The sequence below is a fragment of the Homo sapiens genome, chromosome 2 (assembly GCF_000001405.40).
Source record: "Homo sapiens chromosome 2, GRCh38.p14 Primary Assembly".
NCBI lineage: Eukaryota > Metazoa > Chordata > Mammalia > Primates > Hominidae > Homo > Homo sapiens.
Genome location: NC_000002.12, coordinates 176,802,507 through 176,825,918, shown reverse-complemented (window position 1 = coordinate 176,825,918; position 23,412 = coordinate 176,802,507). Strand labels below are relative to the sequence as shown.

At 40.3% G+C, this 23,412-nt stretch overlaps 2 pseudogenes; both read left to right on the top strand.

Annotated features, from left to right (window-relative positions):
* RPL29P8 (ribosomal protein L29 pseudogene 8) lies at positions 16,171 to 18,885 on the top strand (annotated as a pseudogene).
* FUCA1P1 (alpha-L-fucosidase 1 pseudogene 1) lies at positions 19,801 to 21,622 on the top strand (annotated as a pseudogene).

Genomic DNA, 23,412 nt, shown 5'->3' with positions numbered 1-23,412 from the left:
CATTGCTTCCTTCCAAATATCCCCTTCCATCAATCCTGGGAATCTTTTCTTTGGTAAGAGGTAGAAGGGTAAAGCCTACCTTAAATTCACGTTATTTTTTCCCAAATCTTTTGCCTCTACCTTAAGTCTTTATATCCCTGAGGGGCTCGGCTTTGGAAATATGCAAGTCAGGGAAAGAATTCTTCTCTTTAATACTGTCTTATTCCTTCCTTGAGTTAAATAGCAGAGACATGTCCAGCTTCTTGCATGGGGAAGGAGGAAGGTCAAAAGGGAAAAAAGAAATGAGAAAAAAAAATCAGGTAATATTTAAACATTTTTATTCTTCAACATAATGATTTTTTCAAATTGATTTTATTTAAAATAGTAAAACTGTATGAAATATGAGCTGCCTGGGCAGTCTAGCTCTTGAGGCCATTGTTACTATAACACTCATGATTTCTGCCTTGGATTATGGGTATTTCATTATTTGTGTGTTTTATATTTCCTATAGAAAGGCAATGATCTAGAATTTAGACTAGCTAGATAAACCCCCCAGGCAGGGAGAGGATAAGAATGAATTCTATAAACATTTTGAAAGGAAAGAGTTCGAATGAAGGGAAAGGTAGGGAAGAAAAGCTCATGATTTTGAGGAGTTAAGCCTGGGAAACAAAAGTGCTTATTCCTTTGATAATAAATGGAAGGGGAATGTAGCTTGGGTTGACTGGTGGAAGATGATAGATTTGAACTTGCATGTATAGTGTGTTCATCTCCAAGAGATGTTGATGCCAGGAGATCTTCCTTTCCTTTAAAACTGCAGCCAGGATGGACCAATATTTTTGTTGTGTTTCCACATATCCACAAGGATACACGCCAGCATGTAGTGTTTTTTTTTTTTCAGCCTAAAGGTTGTAGTCATTCTCCTTCAGCCTACTGTGTGGCAGCTTTCTTCTTATTCGGTGCTTTCCATTCTCATCTCAAGTCCTGGACATCTGAGCTGTGCATATGAGTGCGCGCGCGCACACACACACGCGCACACACACGTGTGCACACAGACTAGAGACCCTGATTGCATGCTTTCTCCCCATGGAAAGGCAAACTTCCTTATGAATTCTTAGACTCTGCCTTTTATTAACTTTACCTGTGAGCAACCTTGTATGAGGAACAGCCTTACTACAGAATGTTAATCTCAGAAAAAGTGAATTACTTCATCACCAGGGGAATATACTACTGGAGCTTCCCAGTTGGCATCAGCAGAAGAATGACTCACAACTCTTCCTTTTTATCAGTATTTCTCGCTCCATTCAAGGTTTTGAAAAAATACATTATTCAGTTCCCCTACTTTCATCTCCCACCACATCAAGACTATAGACACCTCGGTGCTGATTGCACTCCTAGTTCTTCCCATCCAGAGGCAAACAAAACAAGGGCATTGCTAACCAGTTTATTTGAAACACTTTCTTCAACAGACGGCTCTGAGTTATCAGTGGTGTCCTGTTTTTAGGACAAAGAATTATTGCTCTGACCTCATAGTTGCTCTTTGCAAGGACTCAGGTTTAAAGGTTATGAAGAGCTATTCAAACTCATATATTTCTACTTCCCTTCTCACTTGTTGTACTGCCTTTCAATGTGCAATGGAATGTCCATTCATAGTCATAGGCCGTTTAAAGTAATATATGCTTCCAAGATTATAAAATGGAAATTTATTCCTTTATTTACCCTTTCAATCAACATTTATTGAGCACCTCAGTATGCTAGGCACATACACAAAAAGGTGCTGAGGGTCAAAGGCATCCTGAGAGATGCCTTCTAGAGCAGAACCCAACAACAAGCAGTTGGTTATAGTGAATCTGAAACAAATTGCCCAGCATTTCTATTGTTTTGTTTTTCTCTACTTTTCTCTCTTATAGACTTGTTTTTCATTTTTCTCTTGTTTTCTCTTTTTTCTGTATTTTTTCTCTTTTTCATCGTTACATGATGCCATATTATTTTCAAAAGGCCAACCTTGTCTTCTTCTGTTTCCCTCACTCATTCCACAGTAGCAATATTTATTAATGGCTAAAAGACAAACAACTACCTTGTCCAATCCAAGGTCACTGTGGTAATTTTAGGCATCTGAGAGTATATCAAAAAGATGGAAAATACATAAACCATTTAATAAGCTATTGGAAAGAGAATATGGGTTTATGACTTAGAAGGGCTGTATTTTCTGAACAAAAGGTTAATTCCTGGATTAGTCGGGATTTGGCTACATTTTGTTGTGGTAATGAACAGTCTCCAAACATCGGTGACTTAATCCAACAAAAGTTTATTCTCACTGATTGTGCATGTCCAACATGGACCTGTGGAGGACTCAGCTCCACTAAGTCATTCAGGAATCTAGGCTATTGGGAACTCTGTCATCTCAACACATGCTTCCAAGATTACTTCTGCAGGGAAGGAGAGAGCTGGAGGGTATTCCATTGACAATCAAATGCTTCGGCTTAGAAGTGAAACATAGTAACTCTTCACAACAGACAAATTACCTGACCTATCCAACTGCAAAGGAGCCCAGCAATGCACCGTTTATATACCTGGAAGGAGAGGGTGCTGGACTCTTTGTGACACTAGTAGTGTCCACCACAACACTCAGGATGATCGAGTTTGAAATGAAGACTATAGAAAACTCCAAATGTCCGGCTGATGTGCTTGAAGGACAAGTGTAGAAGTGGCTGACCTGTGATTTGCAGCAACTGGCCTCTCACAGTGGCTGTTTTGCAAGGGTGTCCTCTGGCTCTACAAACGCCTTGCAACCTCAGGATAATCTTTTCTGTGGTCTCTTGTTCATGAAGGCAGTATTTTAAAATAAACTCATACATGTCCTTTTATCCAATAAAATGTCAATCTTAAATTACTAAGATAATTCATCCCTAAGTTGAAATACTCCTTTTAATTTACTTTTTTAATTAAGGGAGGTGTGTGGTTTGTGAGACTTGGACCATTAGGAAGCTTAAGTGTTCTGAGTCAAGACTGGGAGGCCATCCCTCGCCTGTGACAGTGTGTTGGAGCGAGGCTGCCAGTAAGCCAGAGTGTCAAGGATGACAGCACAGCTCCATATATTGTGGCCACCAACCTGAATACATAGCCAAGTGCATCACCTCCCTCAAACACATTCTTGCAAAGTGAAATTAACTTTATGGGGTGTGCAATAATGTTTTTTGGATGGTTTTACATAATGTCCCTGAAGTTTTTAGACAAGTGACTTTTGAACAGCTATAAACTAGAGTTAGCATACACTTCTGGACTTCCTGGAACTTCAAAACTTGAGGTCGTGGGATCACTCATCTGAGAGTGGGTACATGCTTATCTCTGATCCCTTGATAGGGCCCAGTCTAAAGGAGGAAAAAGCTAACAAAATCAGTCTGACACAGTGATAGTTAAGAACTGAGATTTCAAATCCAGGCCGGTTCTGAGTTTGGATCTTGACTATCCACTTAAGAGCTTGTGTGACCTTGGGCAAGTTATAGAACATCTTTAATCTTTAATTTCCGATAGATGAGAATTAAAATAGTATTTGTCTCATAAGCTTGTGAGAATTAAAGGAAGTGATGATACTTAGCATAGTGCCTGGCTCATGTAGGTGGTCAGAAAACATTAACTGTTACTAGCAGCTGCTTTTGTTAATAGTTCAGGGTAACAAGCATGTAGAGTGTGAGCCACAAGCAAAGCACTGTGCTAGACACAGCAAAGTATGTGTGTATGAGAGAGAGAGAGAATTAGGATGTAAGAGTATAGTGGAGCGAGAAGAAGCAGGATAGAAAAAACACAAAGATAGCTAAACATAGATAACTAAAATGAAACAGGTAACATTTATTTGTGGGCATACTCTGTGAAAGGCACTGCATAGATAGATCTTTACATAATTGATCTCATTTAATGTTCACATGACCCTCTGGGTAGGCATTATTATCTTCATTTTATATTTGAAGAAAATAAGCCTTAGATCAATTAACCTGCAGTGGCTAACACATGGAGCTAGGGAAGTGGAGGGAGTATCGGGCTGTGAGGTTAAGCTTGACTGGAGCACAGGAGAGGACTGGCTGTGTGGTATGTTCCCAGGTGTTCCAGGGAAGCCTCGATTACCAGCACAGGTGGTCATTGCCCATACAGAGTCCAAGACCATCTGTAATTTTGGCCACACAGTCCTTAATGATGTGCTATTTGACGAAGAAATAGGAGACTACCTTGAGGCGGACACCATGTCTTTGAGATACTGAAAGACTAAAAAACACATTCAGGATGTGCTGAAGCACAGCTTCAAATCACGCAGCAAATCTACGACATGCCAGGAAATGGCAGCCAATGGCAAACCAGCCCTGTCTGAGGGCCACTGGTGAAAATGTCATGGTGTTCCATGGTTGACCACTAGATGAAGCCCTGCTGGGCAGGATACCACCACCTGGGGAGGATAATGGTTGAAACCCAAACCAACCCCTCCTCATCCCTGCACCTCCACAACCTAGAGAAGATTTTAGGATGTGTATTCATCTTTCCAACACTATAAGGCTAAGACCACCACCAATAGCATAGATCCCATTCCCACTAATATGCTTTATTATGAGTTCAGAGAAAATATAAAGTATAAGGAAACCTGAAAACTTCCAGGTCCTTCTAGACTTTTGTCCCATTAACACTTTGGGGGAAAAAGCAATCTCCATGTAAAATCTCCATTAAAATAACCTTGTGGGCTTATCTGAAATTAGCACCTTCACAGTTTTTGTTCTGACTGTTGGTTTAGTTTGCCTACTGTGCCTTGATCTTATACTTGATATGCCTCTCTAATCAGATAAGAAAATAGTTGAAGCATTTTTGGACTGTAGACCAACATTAATGTTATTCAAAAATAGGAGTTAGGCATGGGGCTCAGATTTTTACCTTTTTTATTTGTGTATGATTTAGTGTTCATCCTGCACTAGACACTAAAATGCATTGTTTAATTATCTGAGCTCAACACACCATTTTATAATTCATTAGTCAGTTGCTCTTTGCAAAAGCTTATTTCTTATGAAACAAAAGTGGGAATCATGCAACTGGACTATTTATCTCTCTTTAGGGGTTGGGGGTTAATATCTGATAGCTCATAACATCTTTATTATAATGCATTTATAATGATTTACTGGAATCATTCTATGGCTAAGTATCTAATGTCAAAGCTGGGATCTGGCATGAAATAAAATGCTGTATCCTTGGGTAGCTCTAGGGAAAAAAAGGCCCCAGCCAATATTTTCTGTGTAATTCTACAAACTGTAATAAGGGTAGGGGTAATTGCCTTAATGTCAATTAAGCTATTAATAATGTTCATCTTGTCATTCCTAAATATAGCAGTGTCTCAATCATACATTACTGTCCCCTGTTAAGGCTACACAGAAATGAGATCACAGCCTCTGTGGATCAAGAAGTCTGTCTAGCAGCCAGTCTTATTTCCTTTACATAAGGGAAGGTTTGGGGGTTTATTTGGTGTTAATGAAAAATTTCTACTTAGACACACATATGTATTTGTGAGGACAAGCTCTGGTGATTCTTGTGAGCAGGACAAATTCAGTCTTAGAAGCTAAACTGTTCCCTGTTCCTATTCTGCTCCTGATGACCATGAAAGGTGCTCCTGATCAGGACTCGTGTTCCAGGGTCCCGATAAGGTCTGAGGACCCAGACAGTTCAGTAGCAATCATACATGCATTTTAGCAAAGTGTGTGGGAACTAACAAAGTTAGGGAGCACTTGTTCAAGCTACACATAGTGCTGCGTTGTGTGCGTGTTGTTCCCAGGCCACGTGGATGCACGCAAGTTCCTCAAGGACAGAGAAACTACAGGACAAAGAAAATGAGGCTGAGACATTGTCACTGAGACAAGAGGTCAGTGTTTCATCAGCAAATTTCAGCAAAGTCAAGGGTAAAGTCATATTTGGAAGAAGGAATAGAAGATGAGCTATAGGATTTTGGCGAACAGGGAGAATATTGCCAAATCTCCCCATTCAGCTCTAAATCAGGACCACTTATCGTGCAGTGAAGAAACAGGACAAGACCCTTCTTTAGTTGGCACTTATCGTTCTCCTGGGCCATGAGATTCTGAGCAGCCACTTCCTTCCGACCCCCCTCCTTGTTGCCTGTCTTGAAGTGAACTTCTACTTGATGATATTTAGAGCTCATTAATTTGTCCCAAGGAAGCTTATTGTATGGCAGTTTAATGACAGAAAACTGTTTTAATGCAAATGGACATGTAATCCCACTAAGCCACTCTGAGGGTGTAAATTTAAAACAATTGCTAGGAACTGACACCGGAGTTTAATAAGATGGAGGGCTAGTTTCTAGATCCCGGTACGCCCAGGGGACCCTGCTTGGACACCCAGCCCTGGCGGTTTTAGTGCAGCCCTCAGTTACCATGGCAATTAAAAATGTCAGGGAGCTTACTGGAGCTCCTTTCAGGTGGTGGGGATCTGAGCTCTGGAGGAGTGGGGGAATGCAGGGAGGAAATAAGTTTCAGCACAGAGAGGAAATGAAGGGTGAGTGGGTGTCTTCTGCTCATTACTCCTCAGGGGACAAGGTTGGACAAGATATGACTGAGACCCCAGGAGGTCACTTTCTGTCCTGGCTTAGTATAAATGCCTGATCCAGGCAAACTCCCACAGACAGAGCACAAAGCCTTACCCAGGACCCCACTTCTCCCAGCAGGTAAAGGGGGAAGCCTGCTTCTGAGGGGTTGGTTGGAAATGAGGCGGAGGCGGGAATTGTGTTTGAATATTTACTAGATTATAATGCTGTTGGATACTACATCATTCATCAGAGGGCCCTGAATAAGGTTATTATGGGTGAAGTCATTTTTGTAATAAAGTTGGCTGTAACTCTGGGTCATAAATCACAGGTTCTGGTACTAAAAAAATTGCTAAACATGCCTCTGTTACCACATACTGTCCTCCTTTTAAATACTTTGATTTTACTACAAATCTCCCATTGACTGAGCTGGGGGAAATACACACAATGAGCAAACGATTCCTTCCGTCCCTGGCAGCAGCCCTGCCAGCATCGGGGCCTCCTGGAATGATTTCCTGAGGTGTGATGTTATTTATGGTGTGCTTTCTCTATCAAAAAGGCAAACAGCATCCCAAGTGACCCCGGAGCATTTGCATCATTGCTTCTCTTGCTAATTGATTCATCCCCTGGCAGGGCCTGAGACACGGGCTGTTGGCTGGACACTCGCTCCCAGCTGCATATCCTGTGGATTTAAGGTGCATAAGAAGCAAAGATGTTAATAAAATCGTTAAATGTCAAAACTGAAAAACCCACACCCATTCAGAGTTCATCAGCTCTTCTGGAATGATCTGTAAAATACCATCTCCTCCCCTTGTCCTTTTCTCATAACCTTTGTTATGTTACCATCTTTGTTATGTTACCTTTGTTTGTTACCATCTCCTCCCCTTGTCCTTTTTTCATAACCTTTGTTAAGTAAGGAGATTAAGAACTGTTATTAACGACACTGATTGTTTAATTTCTTTCATAACTTCTTCCTTTCAAATGAGAGTCCAGTACAGAATGAAAAGGAATGTTATCATATGAAGTGCATTTCAGACGTAATAAAGCAGAAAGGAGAGGGTGGCCCCAGTGGCAGTTGTAAGAGGGATGAAGTGTGGATCTCTATAGCTCAGTGGCTGCAAAGCAGAAAATGAAGATTGTAAAAACGTCACATAAAGAAAAAATGCACAGTGGATTCGTTTTGTGATGCCCATAATTCAGTAATGCCTTTAAGTAGCTAGAAGAAATATAATAAATGTTTTTCCACAACATTGATCATACTGTATCAGAGGAAATATTAGTGTGCAGGGAGCCATGATTATACTGGTAGTAATTCTCGGTGCAGAAAACTAGTAGAAGATGGGACCCTTTATAGGCCGAACTTTTATTGGCTGCAGTTATTTACCTTTAAGAATACGCCTAATACATTGTCCTGTAGCTAAATATTTTTGTGAAAATTCAAACCAGCACTATCAGTAAATCAGAAATCCTGCCACCATTTTATAGGATTTATATATATTTTTCCCTGCAGATGCTCTCATATGTTCCAGAATACAAAAACCAGCCAACTGACCATGTAAAAATTCTAGAAGGCCTGTAAAACAGATTCTTCTTCTGTATTCTGAACCTGGATAGGAGCAGACAGGTTTATGGCATGTGATTCCATCCAAATGCCACCTGTATATATAACATCTCTCTAAAGAAATTAAATGGATTATTAGATTATATACCATAGTAAAACTATACCTGGAGCTGCAGGCCAGGAGAAGATATGCATGTTGTGCAACTGCTTAATTTTTTTTTTTTTGTCTTGAAACACTGAAGAAAGCTTTGCAAAACAGGCTTTTTCTAAATTTAGGGAGGAAAGAATGGAACTGATTCTTCATGCCAGCCTCTTGCTCCTCAGACTGGCAGGAGCTGGTAATGCGGTGGCTGTGGCAGTGTGGGTGCAGGAGGCCCTGCATGCTGAGGAGAAGTTTCACCTTCCCTCTAGATGGGCTCCAGCTCGACTTCAGAAATCATCCAGTCAGGGTTCCAGGGAGCACAAGATAAAAGCTAGCCCAGCCAGACTCCTGCAGAATTAAAGGGAGAGGTGAGACCCGGGCATGCTAATCTTCCATATATCCCAATGAAGTCGTGCTGTGAAAATGACTAAGAGAAGCAAGAAGCCAGAGCAATCTCCGAGGGAAGGTACTCTGAGAGCAGTGTGTAGGAGGGCGGTATTTGACTTCAGTATCTGCATAAGCCAGCTTGCAGTTCAAAGCCCTTGTTAAAGCAAACCAACCTGCTTAAAGGCTGCCGACTCACCTGCTCTGTCTCAATGCACCTCTCCCCTAACTCTCACTGACACAAATGGGTATCATTTCTCAGAGTGAAAGGAGGCTATTCCTTTCTCTTTGTCCTAGGGCTCTTTGCTTAATGCAAATAACAGGCCTCATGCACACATGCTCTACCAATCCAACACATTTTCTGTGTGTGTGTGTGTGTGTGTGTGTGTGTGTGTTTATGGAGTTACATATCGATTTTAGTACCTTCTATTGGAGTTGATGTTTTAATTGTTTTATTTGTTTTGTTTGATTTTTTCTTCTCCTCCAGCAAGCAAGAAATGGAAGAGGGCGCCTCTAAGTTCTTCCCATTCTGAGAATGTTTATTTATTTATTTATTTATTTAACTTTAAGTTCTGGGGTACATGTGCAGAATGTGTGGTTTTGTTACACAGGTGTACACGTGCCATGGTGGTTTGTTGCACCCATCAACCTATCACCTACATTAGGTATTTCTCCTAATGCTATCCCTCTCCTAGCCCCCCATCCCCCCAACAGGCCCCGGTGTGTGATGTTCCCCTCCCTGTGTCCATGTGTTCTCATTGTTCAACTCCCACTTATGAGTGAGAACATGTGGTTCTTGATTTTCTGGTCCTGTGTTAGTTTGCTGAGAATGATGGTTTCCAGCTTCAAAAAGGCAGGTGATTGAGGGAAGAAAACCTCCAACAGTTAGGGATTCTAAGGTTGAGGAACAGCCTGACACAGATGACAGTCTATCTAGTGTGGCTTCTGGGAAGTTGGTGTGCTGTCACCTGGTGTGCTCAGCATTGACATACAAGCCAATATGACATCACAGGCTTCTGTTAAATTTCCTCCTCATCATGGAGGAGAGAGATGCTTTTGAAGCATGTTCCTGTAAGTGGTTCTGTTCTAGGTACTTTGTGGTAGTAGCAGTTGTTTTCAATGTTTTATTTTTATTTTTTGAGAAAGGGTTTCACTCTGTTGTCCATGCTGGAGTGCAGTGGAGTGATCACATCTCACTGCAGCCTTGAAGTTCTGGGCTCAAGTGGTTGATCCTCCTGCCTCAGCTTCCTGAGTAGCTGGGACTACAGGTGTGCCAGGAGGATTTTTTTTTAAGTGAAAAAATTTTATCTTTGCCTTAGTTAATTTCCTGGCAGTTGAAGTGCATTTTAAAACGATAATTTCTTGGCCAGGCGCGGTGGCTCACACCTGTAATCCCAGCACTTTGGGAGGCCATAGCGGGCAGATCATGAGGTCAAGAGATCGTGACCATCCTGGTCAACATGGTGAAACCCGTCTCTACTAAAAATACAAAAGAATTAGCTGGGTGTCTAGTCCCAGCTACTTGTGAGGCTGAGGCAGGCGAATCCCCTGAACCCACAAGGCAGAGGTTGCAATGAGCTGAGATCATGCCACTGCACTCCACGCACTCCAGCCTGGTGACACAGCAAGACTCCATCGAAAAAAACAAACAACAAACAAAAATTTCTTTTGGAGGCTAATATCTCCATTGTCAAACCTTAATAAAGATCAATGTATAGTCATCTTTCTTCTCTCCTTCCTTTCCCTCCCTTCTTCCTTTTTTCTTCCCTCCTTCCTTCTTTCCTTCCCTCCCTCCCTTCTTCCTCCTTTCCTTCCTTTTTCCCTCCTTTTCCCTTTCTTTCATTTTATTTTCCTTTCTTCTTTCTGAATCCTTATTTCTCTTCAATGACTTAGAAAACATCTTAATGAACTTCTTAGAGCAATTCTGCAGCAATGAACATGTTCAGGATCACAGATGCCTTTTCTCCAGTATTTACTGGTAAAATGCAGTTCCCACTTTTGCTGTGTGTGTAGTATGCACACCATCCCATTTATGCCTGTAAAAACATCCAGGTGTGCTTAGGAGGGCCAGAGAGACCCTTGGAGAGTAGACTTACTGTAATTTTAGTAAAATTAAAAGACAAGAAGATAATAATAGGACTTAGGAATTTGCTTAGTAGATAAACAGAGTGCATTTTGCTTTACTTGGTATATAGTTTGAATTATTGACTTGCATATTGCCAAATAAAAAATATAGACAATATTGGACAACACAGAATATTTGATTATAATATAAAACATTTTATATTTTAAAATGAGATACACTTGTAATTATCTCTACAACCACTGGATGTCACTATTGCATATATCAGGCAGTTAAAAACTTCCTATCTAGAGAGAGAATCTGAAACTTATTTTAAGAGCTGTCAGTCGCCACCTTGGTGCACTACCTTTTGATGGAACATGCACTATCGTGCTAAAATGACTCTCTTCCCCATTCCATGCAGTCAGCCCAATTTTCAATTATGCCACTTTACTGGGAATTCTAATTTACACAGGATGAGATTCCTCAAACACAATTATTTTCTTCACTATATTTAAAAGGAATATGGTACTTCTATAATAGTTCTCAACATTGTGTATTAATTATAATGAGCACATTTTGGACACTAAATGGTGTGAAGTGAAAACATAACCATAAAATAAGCTCGATTTATAAAATACCCCCAACCCCTGCTAATTACTTACAACAATTTTATATCTATTTGCTCATCTGTCTTCCCAGCATCCCTGGGAGGTTACCTGCTTTACTACTTTTATGAGTCAAAGTTGACCTGTGAAGTAAATTGAATCAAGTAATTATTTGCACAGGCATTCCAGGAGTAAAGCAAAAGCAAACATTGAAAGTGTGTTCCAGACAGCTAATTCCAGTTTGCAAAAGTTACCAGTTCAGATTTTGGTAGTTCTGTGATTTTTCAATTAGTAAAAAAAAAATCCTCAATTCATGGGCCTTTTAACTCTCCTTTTAAAGATTCATTTAAAAAAAAATCTGGGCCATTTTGTGAGGCTGACGTGATAGAGAAAATAGGTCTTTTTCCAAGCTGAAAAAAGGCTGGCCCAGTTCAAGTGCTAGTTAGAGCAGGACCAGGAAAAATAATGTGGTGAAGGAATTTGAACAATGGTTTGCTTTCCCTATAGTTAGAAATGGCCAGGAGCTTCCAAAGAGCTATCCAGTTTAGTTTCTTTCCTTTTACTAAAACCCTGGAGTCGTTTTCTTCAACTTCCTCACATGCCCTTGCAGCTCTGGGGAAGCCAGAGCTGTTCTTGAAGGACTATTGGCCTAGATTTAGTGGGGGAGGGGAGATGCTCTCTGTTCTAGTGAATTATCAGAGAGCTGTGTTGCTTGCCATCTATGGGATGCTTTGATCCAAAATTTTAGTCATTGTTTCCACATTTAGGGGCTGGAATGCACATCAAAGAAGTGGGTGCACGGAATTTACTGAATGCCAAAGAAGTACAATAACATACAGAGGATATAAGCAAATCCCAGTGGTAAAATTTGCTGCCAATTCTTGCACATAATAGAGGCCCTAAAGTGACAGTCTATCTTTGACAAATGCATGATATCAATGCCAAGGGAAGGAACTAGCATGCTGAAAGGTGAATAAAAGAGTTGGAACAATTCAGTGGACTTACACATTTCCTCAGTGTGTTTTCACACAACAAGGAAAGCAGATGACACAAATGCATGAGGTAATCATAAGACAGGGCTGCAAACTCACTAGCTGTTTTAAACCAACCTGGTTCTTTCAGGATCCAGCTCTAAAGATGAGAGTAAAATGTGATTAGAAATCATTCATCTTCTGGAGGAAAAAAATGGAACAAGGAAAGTGAAAATAGCTTTCTTGTTCTGTCTTGGATAGTTCCAGATTTTAGAGCCCATATGTTGTTTGCTATAACTTCCTCGCCTCCCAGGGCCAATGCATTCGAAACGCTTCAGCTAGTGTACTTCACTGAGTAGTCTTGGAAGTTAGGGCTCATTTGTATCCATAGTCTTTGTTCAAATATGGATTAATTTTGGCTAATTTCAGTGGGTGCATATAAAGTAAAACGCACAGAACTGAAACTACTGAAATCAGGCCTGTGTGTGATCATCTAAAAATCTACTTTTCAAGCTCCTTTAAGTTTTATTTTTGAAATAAAAACAATAAAATGACAGTAAAAAGTTTCCAAAAGCATTGACATTATGAGCAATTGCTAACCAAGGCTATTCCCAGAATGATTGAGCAAAATTTGGATATAATTCTAGACAAGATAACTGCCCGGCAGTGCCAGCTATAAATACTCCATTCAGAAGGTGATTTCACTATGATCCTATGGAATATGTCCCTTGTCTCTAGGGCTGGGTAACCACGTGGATGCATATTATGCTATTGTCACTAGGGCTGGCATTGGAGGGCAAAGGCAGATTCTTGTCCTCAAGCTTTAATCTTTATACTATGGAGATGAATGTGTAAGACCTGCCGTAGGTTGCTTTAAAAAACCAGACTGCGTTTGGATATTTAGAGGAAGGGGTCTCAAAAATGCCATAGTACATAGAAATAGCCTAGAGGGGTCATGGGCACAGCTGGTAGTGAATCGGGTATAAGCAAGATCAAGATCTGTGTATTTATTTGCAACTCTACTTGCTTGAGCCAGAAATTGTGCCAGCTGCAAATCGAGCCAGCATTTCTGTCCTTGGCTTTAGACAATTAGAGCAGATTTGCTTGTATACACCAAAATCATTTCCAACACAGCCCCCACAGTTCTTTGTGCTTCTTACAAAATTTCCTCTATGGCCTTGCACTGCATAATAAAGGAGCTCTTGGAAGGATCCTGGTCTGTTTACTGTGCATGTTAAGTAAATGCAATGATTTTCATTATTTCAAACTCCATAATGAAATGACTGAGTGCCCGGCAACATTAGATAATGGACAAACAACTATTCAACTGGCTGGATGAACCATGGCTCTCTCGCATTAAAAGTGTGATATTTATGAGTTAACTTAATTATAGAAGAAAATATTGAGTAGGTGACTGAGTAAAATGATGACTGTGTATTACGTTTTTGCCATGCAGCTGGATAAACATATTCGACGACAGACCTTGGCAAGAACTGCAAAGATGCTCTTGACAATGGCATGAATAAATATTAGGTGTTATCTAGAATTCACCACATTTGAGGTCGTGCGCAAAGCCAGGTAAGTTTTAACAAAAAAGAATTACAGCAGAAGCCATGTGTGCACACTAGGACTATGTAAGCACTGGAGTCTTTTTCTGCTGCCTAGGGATTGCTCTAACACTCATTCTCATCCACATCACCGAGAGATTTTCTAAATCATTACCTTTGTTTGCACTCTAGGAGTGCACTGTAGCATAAGACCCAGGTTTTAGGAATCTCGTGGTAAATTTTTCAATGACATGCACTTGGAGAGAAAAGAAATACTTTACCTAGGCTATAGAGCTGACAAAAAAAGATTATATTTTGGAGTGACCCAACCCAATCCTTGTAAACAGTAAATGAAAAAATTGCTTTGAATTGCTTCTTGAATTTCTTTAGAGGACATAGTTTCTAACTACAAGAAGGACCATAAGAAAAGACAGTTTTTCAGAAGGTATTTTGAGTGAAGGTTCAGCAAGACTGATAGTCACTTAATGCAAGATTTGTATCCATGGCAGAAAGAATCAGTGTGCAAAAGAGTATCATAGAAATCTGCCATTATGGGTTTTTTTTTTCCTTTCCTACTCAGAATTGTCATATTACCAATAAGGAAAATTTCTTATTAAGGTCTTTGTTTTCATTTGTTGGAGTGTGCCACACAATCTCTAGAAGATGAGGAGGAGGAGGGGGAGGAGGAAGAACAACAACAACTATGTTTTCTGAGCCAGTGTATGCGCCACAGGTTTCTGCTAAATCAGTGAATTTCCTATATTATTCTCTATTTTTTTAATTATACTTTAAGTTCTGTGATACATGTGCAGAATGTGCAGGTTTGTTACATAGGTATACATGTGCCATGGTGGTTTGCTGCACCCATCAACCCATCATCTACATTAGGTATTCCTCCTAATGCTATCCCTCCCCTACCCCCCTACTCCCTGACAGGCCCCAGTGTGTGATGTTCCCCTCCCTGTGTCCATGTGTTCTCATTGTTCAACTCCCACTTATGAGTGAGAACATGCGGTGTTTGGTTTTCTGTTCTTGTGTTAGTTTGCTGAGAATGATGGTTTCCAGCTTCATCCATGTCCCTGCAAAGGACATGAACTCATCCTTTTCTATGGCTGCATAGTATTCCATGGTGTATATGTGCCACATTTTCTAGACTCTATTTTGGTGTTGTCTCAGCACTAAAATATGATGACAGGATGTGTTACAGAAGTTAGCAGAGCTTACTAGGAAAAAACACTCATGCTGGCATGAGTATTCTGGTGTCTAGTCTCAGTTGTGTGACCTTGGGCAAGTCACTTTGCCTCTCTGAACCTCAGTTTTCAATCCATAAATTATAATAACATCTGTTTGCCTATGCTTAAGAGTCTAGTTGTGAGAAGAAAACTAGATAATTGATCTAAGGCATTCATTTATTATTAAACTACAATGGATTTAATTTAAACTGCTTCGTTCCAGAAAGAATTTCAGTTGCACCTAGGGAAACTAAAATGAAAATTTAAGATATTAATATGACTCACGAGCTTAATTCTTCTTTTTCTCTTCTTCTTCTTTTTTTTTTTTTTGAAGAGACCTTTCAAAATCTTTATTTTTAAGAGGAAATCTAGCTCACTTCCCAGCTACTTTGTCTTCCTGGTATCCTTCTTAATTGCACATATTCCACCTCAGCACTTACTTAACAAATAAATATCCAGAGTACTTAAACCAGATAGAAGTAGCAAGAGGGGTGTTTTGGAGGTATAATTGTCATAATGTGGTGATGGATTGGATATGGGAAAATGAGAGAGACAAGGTATCAAAAATGACTCCCAGATTTCTTATATAGAAAACAGGAGAAGGACGCAATTTGAAGAAATCAGGAATTCCATTTTGGATAAATTCAATTTGAGATGACTGTGAAATACCCAAAGGAAAAAAAAATCCAGTAAAAGACCATAAAGGCAGCCAAAATGGCAAAAAAACACTGGGGTTGAAGGAAAAGGACTTCAGTTAAGGCCTTGATTCTGCAAGACCTCAAGAAGGGATGTATTCTTCCTGCGTTTCAGTTTCCTTGTCAGTAAAATGGAGATATTAGTATCTATCTTATCACCTTGTTGGGAGGATACAATAACAATTTTTGAAGATATTTTATAAGTTACTTTATTTCTCGCTATAACAGACATAAGAAATAGCACAAAGAAACAGGGTGGACGCTTTCTCTACCGCTACTAGTTGCTTTGGGAGCCTTGGGCTACTGTGTAAACACGGCCAAGTCCAAGAATCACACTACACACAACTAGAACAGAAATGGCATCAAGAAAACCCTATGTCAAAGATGTAAATCTCTTAAAAGGGTGGGCCCCAAGTTCCTGAGGAACATGCACTTTGCTAAGAAGCACAAGAAGGGCCAGAAGAAGACGCAGGTCAATGATGTCAGGGCCACGAGTGAATCAACTGAGGCTGTCAGGGCCTTTGTGAAGTCCAAGGAGGTCAAGACCAAGATCCCAAAGGGCATTAGGTGCAAACTCAATCAACTTGCCTGCACTGACCACCCCAAGCTCAGGAAGTGTGCTCATCCCTGCATCACCAAGGGTTTCAGGTTCTGCTGGCCAAAGTCAAAGACCAGGGCTCAAACCAAGCACCAGGTGTGGCTCTGTCTCCAGCTCAGGCTCCCAAATGTGGCCAGGCCTCCACCAAAGCTCCAGGGTGGAGGCCTCTGTCTGCCAATATGAGGACAGAAGGATTGGTGTGGCCTCACAGCTGCCATCTGCCTGAGGCTGTTGACCTCCTATGCTATTCATACAAGCTGGAAATTTCTCTCCTGGAAATATCCCCACTAAATAGTAAATGTCTTTTTCTTCTTGGCATTTCACTGGCACACCTTGAGTCTTGGGCAGCATTGGCCTTCTTTTCCTTTGGATTCTCTACCTTTAGGGTAGGCCTACAAGCATGACCTCATCTCAAAGGGTACACAGAGTTAATATGGAGAAGGCTCTCCTGTGATTTACAGTTTATTAGGGTAAAGTTCCCAAGGGCAGGAATCATCGCTCTGGAATGTTATGGGCTTCCAGTGAATATTAATTGATTGGGATTCAGCATTACCATTTTACTACTAGGTTTAAATTTACGGGAAGAAGAAGAAATTTTAGTCAGTTGGTTGGAAGGGGAAACATCTCCCTCCCTGCTCACCTGGGATTGAAACTATCCACTGTGCTTGCAGAGTCAAGCACCAGCTTGTCCACGGAACCTGACGAGGGACAAGAGGCCATGGAAACGTGAGGTAGGGAACTAGTCCCCATCGCTACCACCATTTATGTTTCCCTAGGGTGAACTCCTTAATCCTCCCTACAACCATACACTGAAAGTCTGTGTGTGATTAACTATTTTCTGACCACCTCAAAGCCAGGCAGGGAATCTGGCTGCCAACAATAGTGGGGGTAGCTCTGGCTGTTGCAGAGATTATTGGAGAAGGCAGAAAGTAGCTCTCTTTACAGAGTCTAAGAAGGCTCATTCTTAGAGGAATAGGGTGAACAGACTCTCTATTATACTGTTAAATATAGGCTTTAGAAAACTCAAACATTTTTAAAAACCCTAATGATGCAGGAAGGAGCAAAGAAATATCTGAAATACTTCTCAGTCTTCTATCTTTTCGGAGGGAGTAAACTAGCAGATAAAGACTTGGTCTTGGATAATGTCTCTATGCAGTAATGTAAGTTTTGTTCTGTTGTCTTTCTTATATATTTTTTGTTTCTGTTTCATGCCTGAGAATGTCCAAGTGCAGCAACAAATAATCAAAACATTGGTCAAACTATCTCCATATTTTCTAAAATTGAATGCTGTTTCTGTACTAATAATTTTCCAGATATGCTCCATGACCAGTATCTGCACACAAACTCCTATTTCCTGGGTATTAAATTTCTTTAATTACTGTCTTTAGTATATCTGGCATATGCAATATAGCTAGTATATTTGGCATGATGTTTCAAAATACCCTAAGAAGGGGTCAGTCATTAGTAAATTTGCATGGCTATACAAGGAATCACTGTAAACAGATTTGGATGTTATACTTCTCTGTACATGTATAGGCTAGAATATAGATCACTTCAAAGAGAAGGGAAGACCATTTGCTATTTTGTAGCTTATAGTAAGTCTATATAAGCCTTCTTAGACTCTGTGTAAAGACAGCGACTTTCTGCCCCTTCTCAGAAACGCATGCTGCCAAGGCAAAGCATTTAGGACAGAACCTGGATCACAGTTAAGTCCTATATAAGTCTTAGCTGTATCTTCATCTTCTACTACTATTACTACTACTGCTGCTGCTAGTATTGAAAGGCCTAAGAGTTATGCCATGACTAGGGGTCAGCTAGGCTGGTTTTGTTAGATCTGCCCTGCCCTGGAATGAACCTAACACATATGCAGTAGATTCAATGTTTGCTCCTCACCTTTGAGAGACCCTTTCGAAAGCCATCTTTGTGGGTCACATTTTTCCCATCTGCTGTCCCCTTGGAACTGCTGAGTGTCAGGGTAAAGCCCTGGGATGCAGCGTGCTTTGGGGCCGTCACTCTCTACCAGTGCATCTCAAACTATCTGTAGTGAAGGATCAGTTTTGTTTTTTACTTCCAATCAGTCACAGACTGATTGGCAAAATGTAATAAACATAACTTAAAGTGAAATAAAAAACCAATACATATAAAACTCAAGTCCCTTTTCAAAATTTTAAGATTCAACATACACAAATGCATGCTGCCAAATGGCTCTGACGGTTCTAAATGCCTCCTCTCAACTCCCTACTTATCTCTGAAGAGTATCCCACAGATGACAGACAGTGGGCCTCACGTTGAGTGGGGTGTCATAAAGGACAGCGGGGAACCTCACAGGCCCTTCATTTCCATACTGGTTTCCTTCCATAGGGCTCTCATCAAAGCAGAGGACACAATGGGCCAGCAGGTCTCAACCCTAGACTGGAGTGGTCAAAGCCCTGGTGTGAAGCTTGTACATTGGAGGTGGCTCAGAGAGGCCACCAGTGGAAGCTGCCCCTTGTCCAGCTGCTGGCCATCCACATAGCTGGGAATTCACAAACAGCTAAGCAATAGGCAGTTTAGTGAAGACACACAGGTGTGGAAACAGTTTGTGATAGGCAGGTTTATGGCAAATAAACACATTGTATGATATACTGTAATCCACTATATAAACAACTTTAAAATTGTCTATACTTCATATTTCCAGCATTTGGCTTTGTTAATCATATGTCTTCCTGACAGCAATTAAATAACCTTGAGAGTAAATGTACACCTGCTGTCTCCCCTGGGGAAACTACATCTCTTGTGAATGGCAGAAGTTCTCCATAAAACATAACTGAAGCTAGGAGAATTGAATTTGGAGATATGCCTTCTTTCCCTCATGTTTTATCTCTAGTTGAATTGGAGTGCATGGCTTAATGTAGCTAATCTTTTTCTAGATCCTTATTCTGAGCTTTTATTTAGACCAAACTATTTCCCCGAGGGGCAAATTGAAGACAATGGATAATAAATGAGGTTGTAATGAGTACCACCACACAGGCTGTGAAAAGTACCACCACCAGCTCATTTGGCCTGAACCTTCACTCTCCCCAACTTCTTTTAATTCTTTCCGATTTCCACAATAGATTCCATCTGCTTCCATGAACACCGTATTGGTACTGCTTTCCTTAAAGCATGACAAACATAAGTTTGTTTGCTTGACTGAGATCCAAACAAAGTTTATTCATTAGGATTAATTAATTAAAAGTCTCTGTTAATTTGCAGGCTTCCAGGGCTCACTAGATGAAGTTGCTGGCAGTGGCCCCTGCGCTGCTGCTACTGCTGCTGCTGGCGCATGGAGCCGTCATGTGGGTGCTTGGGGCTCCAGGCAGGTACACTTTGGACTGGCTGAGGCTGGATTCCTGGCTGCTGCCACACTGATTTGATGAGGCCAGTTTCAGTATGTTCGTGCACTGGGGCATGTTTGTGCACTGGGGAGTGTTCTTGGTGCTGGTGGCTCTGGAAAGGTGAAGACAGATTCACTACCAGCGTTTCATGTATCACCACTACCCACCTGGCTTCAGCCATGCAGATTTTAGCCAGCAGTTCACAGTGGGTTTCTTCCATCTGAATGGACAAGTGGGCCAATCTCTTCCAGGATTTGGAGGCCAAGTATGTAGTCATGATACAAAGCATCACAAACTGGCTGAGTCTCATGTCTTAGAACTTAAATTCTAAGGATGTGGGGCCCTACCAGTTTGGTTGGTGAGTTGGAAACAGTCTGGAAGAGGAACATACACAATGAACTCTATCACTTCTTAGAATGGTTCCATCCACTCTAGCTACTTGATTTAAAAAAAAATGGCTTCAAAACACAGCATTTTGGCAGTGTAAAAACAATGCCACAGCTATATGATCTTGTTAACAGGCACAAGTCTGATATGATTTTGTCTAATAAAGTGAGACTGTCCTGATACTTATTTGAACTTGCCTCTACAATGATATCTATCAAGGAAGAGGTGGTAGTAAATGACTGATGGGGTCAGAAATGGTTCTGTCACCATGGACAGCACTACAACTGTCAAGAGAAACTTAAGCTGGGGAGGTTGCAAGACCACAAGTAAGAGATGTGTACCACCATTGACAAGAAATTCTGGGGCAATGGTTGCAACATGGCAATGTCTGACTTTGCAAGTGAATCTGAAATGGTTTTGGAACTGCTTCAGACAGCAAGTTTAAGAGGCAACTATCTTCTCAACATTGGACAAGCTAAAGATGATCTAACTGTTCCTGTCTTCCAAGAAAGGCTTCTTGCTTTTAGGAAGTGGCTGAGCATCAGTGGGGAAGCTATCTATGCCTCTAAACCATGGAAGGTGCAATTGGAAAAGAACATGACATCTGCATGGTATACCTCTAAAGGATCAGCTGTTTATGCGATTTTACAGCACTGGCCAGAAAATGGAGTCTTAAACCTTGAATCCCCCATAACCACCTTGACTAGAAAGCACACAGTGCTGGGAAAAAAGAATGTCTGAAGTGGTCCACAGGTCTGGACAAAGGCCTTCTTTTTCTGCCCCAGTTATCATCCTCTGCTTTCCCAGTTGAGTTTTCTTGGCCTGTAAAGCTGACAGGAGTGGACTGATTGTTGGAGTTCAAGAGGAAAGGGGCATTGCCTGCTGTTTGCTGCTTTGATTTGCCTTTTATAGTACCATCATTGTAATCAACTCACTTCCCTTCTCCACCCAGAGATGGCTTTTCCAGCACTTTTTAATCAAAGGAACTGAATATATTACACTGATGCTTCAATAGACCAAGCATCTGAGCTCTCTTGCTAGCATACCTCTCTCTGGTCAGCAAAAGGAGGACTGAGCACTTAAGCTCCAAGTTCATCCATTCTTAACGTTTAAAATTATCTACAACAGAAGCTTCCCTCTATTCTTTGTGTCTGATAACCTACTTGTTGACTTGGAGACTTCAGATAAAGAATAAGCCAAGTCTCCCTGTTGCTTGTGGAAGAGGTGGAAAGGGTTTGGCAAGCACAACCACGCACTATTTATTTAGCATCAGTTGTCACCAACACACTGCCTCCTCCCTACTAAAGTGCAGGAGAGCCTGGAAGGGAAGGAAAAAGCTTGCTGGGCTGCTAGTGGTCAACTGTTCAAAAGTTTCCAAAGTGAACTTAGAGCTCTGAAATCCAGCCTGTTTATAGTGATTATATATAATCTTATATATATATAAGAAAGTGAATGTGATTCTGCTCTGCCTTTAAAATACGGTCAAATGAATGTTTGCGTGCCAAAAAAATTTGTAAGTTTCTCAACCATATCTCCCACCTCCCCTTTGCAACTTGTTTAAGTTAATGTTGAATAAACTGGCTGTCTTGGAATTTCCCACAGTTTGGAGTTTGCTGATGGCATCCCTGTGATGTTTAACATGTTCCTCTGTCATTGTAAGCTGTAAATTGGTAGTTGGATTTAGAAGCTTAACCAGATTCAGGTTCAATTATTTTGTTGTCAAGATTAATGCACATGTAGTGTTCTGCACTTCCGTTAGGAGGTACGTAATGTCTAAGTGTCTCTCTTTGGTGTTTAGCAGCCATTAGTGAACACTGTCCAGAGCCATTAATTCATTAGAAGGTTGCAACATGCTGATGTCTCAATTCTATCCATCCTCATTCATTTATTAGCTGGAAAAATTCTATAAAGAGAAACTTACCCTTGATTATTTGATTACTTTGAGACCATTTTTTTTAACACAATGAATTAATCCTGTAGCGTTCTTTAAAGATGATTAATGAATTTAGATTTTTGATATCATTCCGAATTTACATTTAAATATACTTGATATGTTTCCATTGAATTCATTTCATTTATCATTCCACTGAAGAGCTCAAATTATCCCATCTTTGGCCAGTTGGATCCTCTTTGGACAGAATCATAGTACTTTTTCATAGCATCCTTGATACCTGGCATGACAATATATTCCAGGCTCATTTCATAAACTCCCTGTCTGAGATCTGGAATCAGCCATCTTTCCAAGAGGTGGGTTCCTTTTGGTGGAAAATAGTTTTAGAGATGCAATCAGGGTTCTGGAGGTGCTCACTGCTAGTAGTAGTAGGTTGGCCATTGTTTCTAGGCCTTTCCAGTGGAAAGAACTAGAAAATACATGCTTTTAAACCATAAAACATATTATGAATTAGTACTGCTATTCAGATTTATTTTCAGGACTACAGTATTTTTACCTCATTGATCTTAAAGCTGTATCTACTCTCACCCAAGCTGAAAATTCCAGTTCTCAATGACACCAATATATACATATTCTTGCTTTACCTCACACTACATACACAACAGTTTCAGAATACTAATGCCAGTACTGCCATAACAACATGATTCCTGAATCAATAGATGCAAACAAAACCAGTTAGTTAGAAGATATAATGGAATAGAAGACCATGTGTCTGATAGCTAAAAACAAAATACCTCAGTGTAAACTTAACAAGAAATGTTCAAAATCACTATTAGGAAAATTATTAAACACTCATAAAGGTACAAAATTAGACTTAATTGGAAAGGTAAATGATAGTCACGAAGAAAACATAAATATCTTAGTTATTTCTATGCTTATTTAAATATTTAATGTAATCCCTGTGAAAATCTCATCACATTTTTTCCTAGAGCTAGACAAATTGATTATACAGTGTGTTTAGAAGAATAAACATGCAAGAATAGCTAGAAAATGCCTCAAAAGAAGAGCAATGGTATTATATTAAAACATAAACCTCTAAAATTAAAATAGTTTGGTGTTAATGAATAAGCATAAGAACGGAAAAAACAGAAAATTCAAAGGTATACCTAGTTGCACATGAATATTTAATATATGATAAAAATGGCATCTCTAATTAGTAAGAAAAGGATGGAACTTTTAATAAATGGTGTTAGGGTAGCTGGGTAGCTGTATGCAAAGAGATAAAATTGACGCCACTCCTTGTACTACATAACAGAACAAATTATTATTATTTTTTTTTTTTTGAGATGGAGTCTTGCTCTGTCGCCCAAGCTGGAGTGCAGTGGCACGATCTCGGCTCACTACAAGCTCCGCCTCCCAGGTTCATGCCATTCTCCT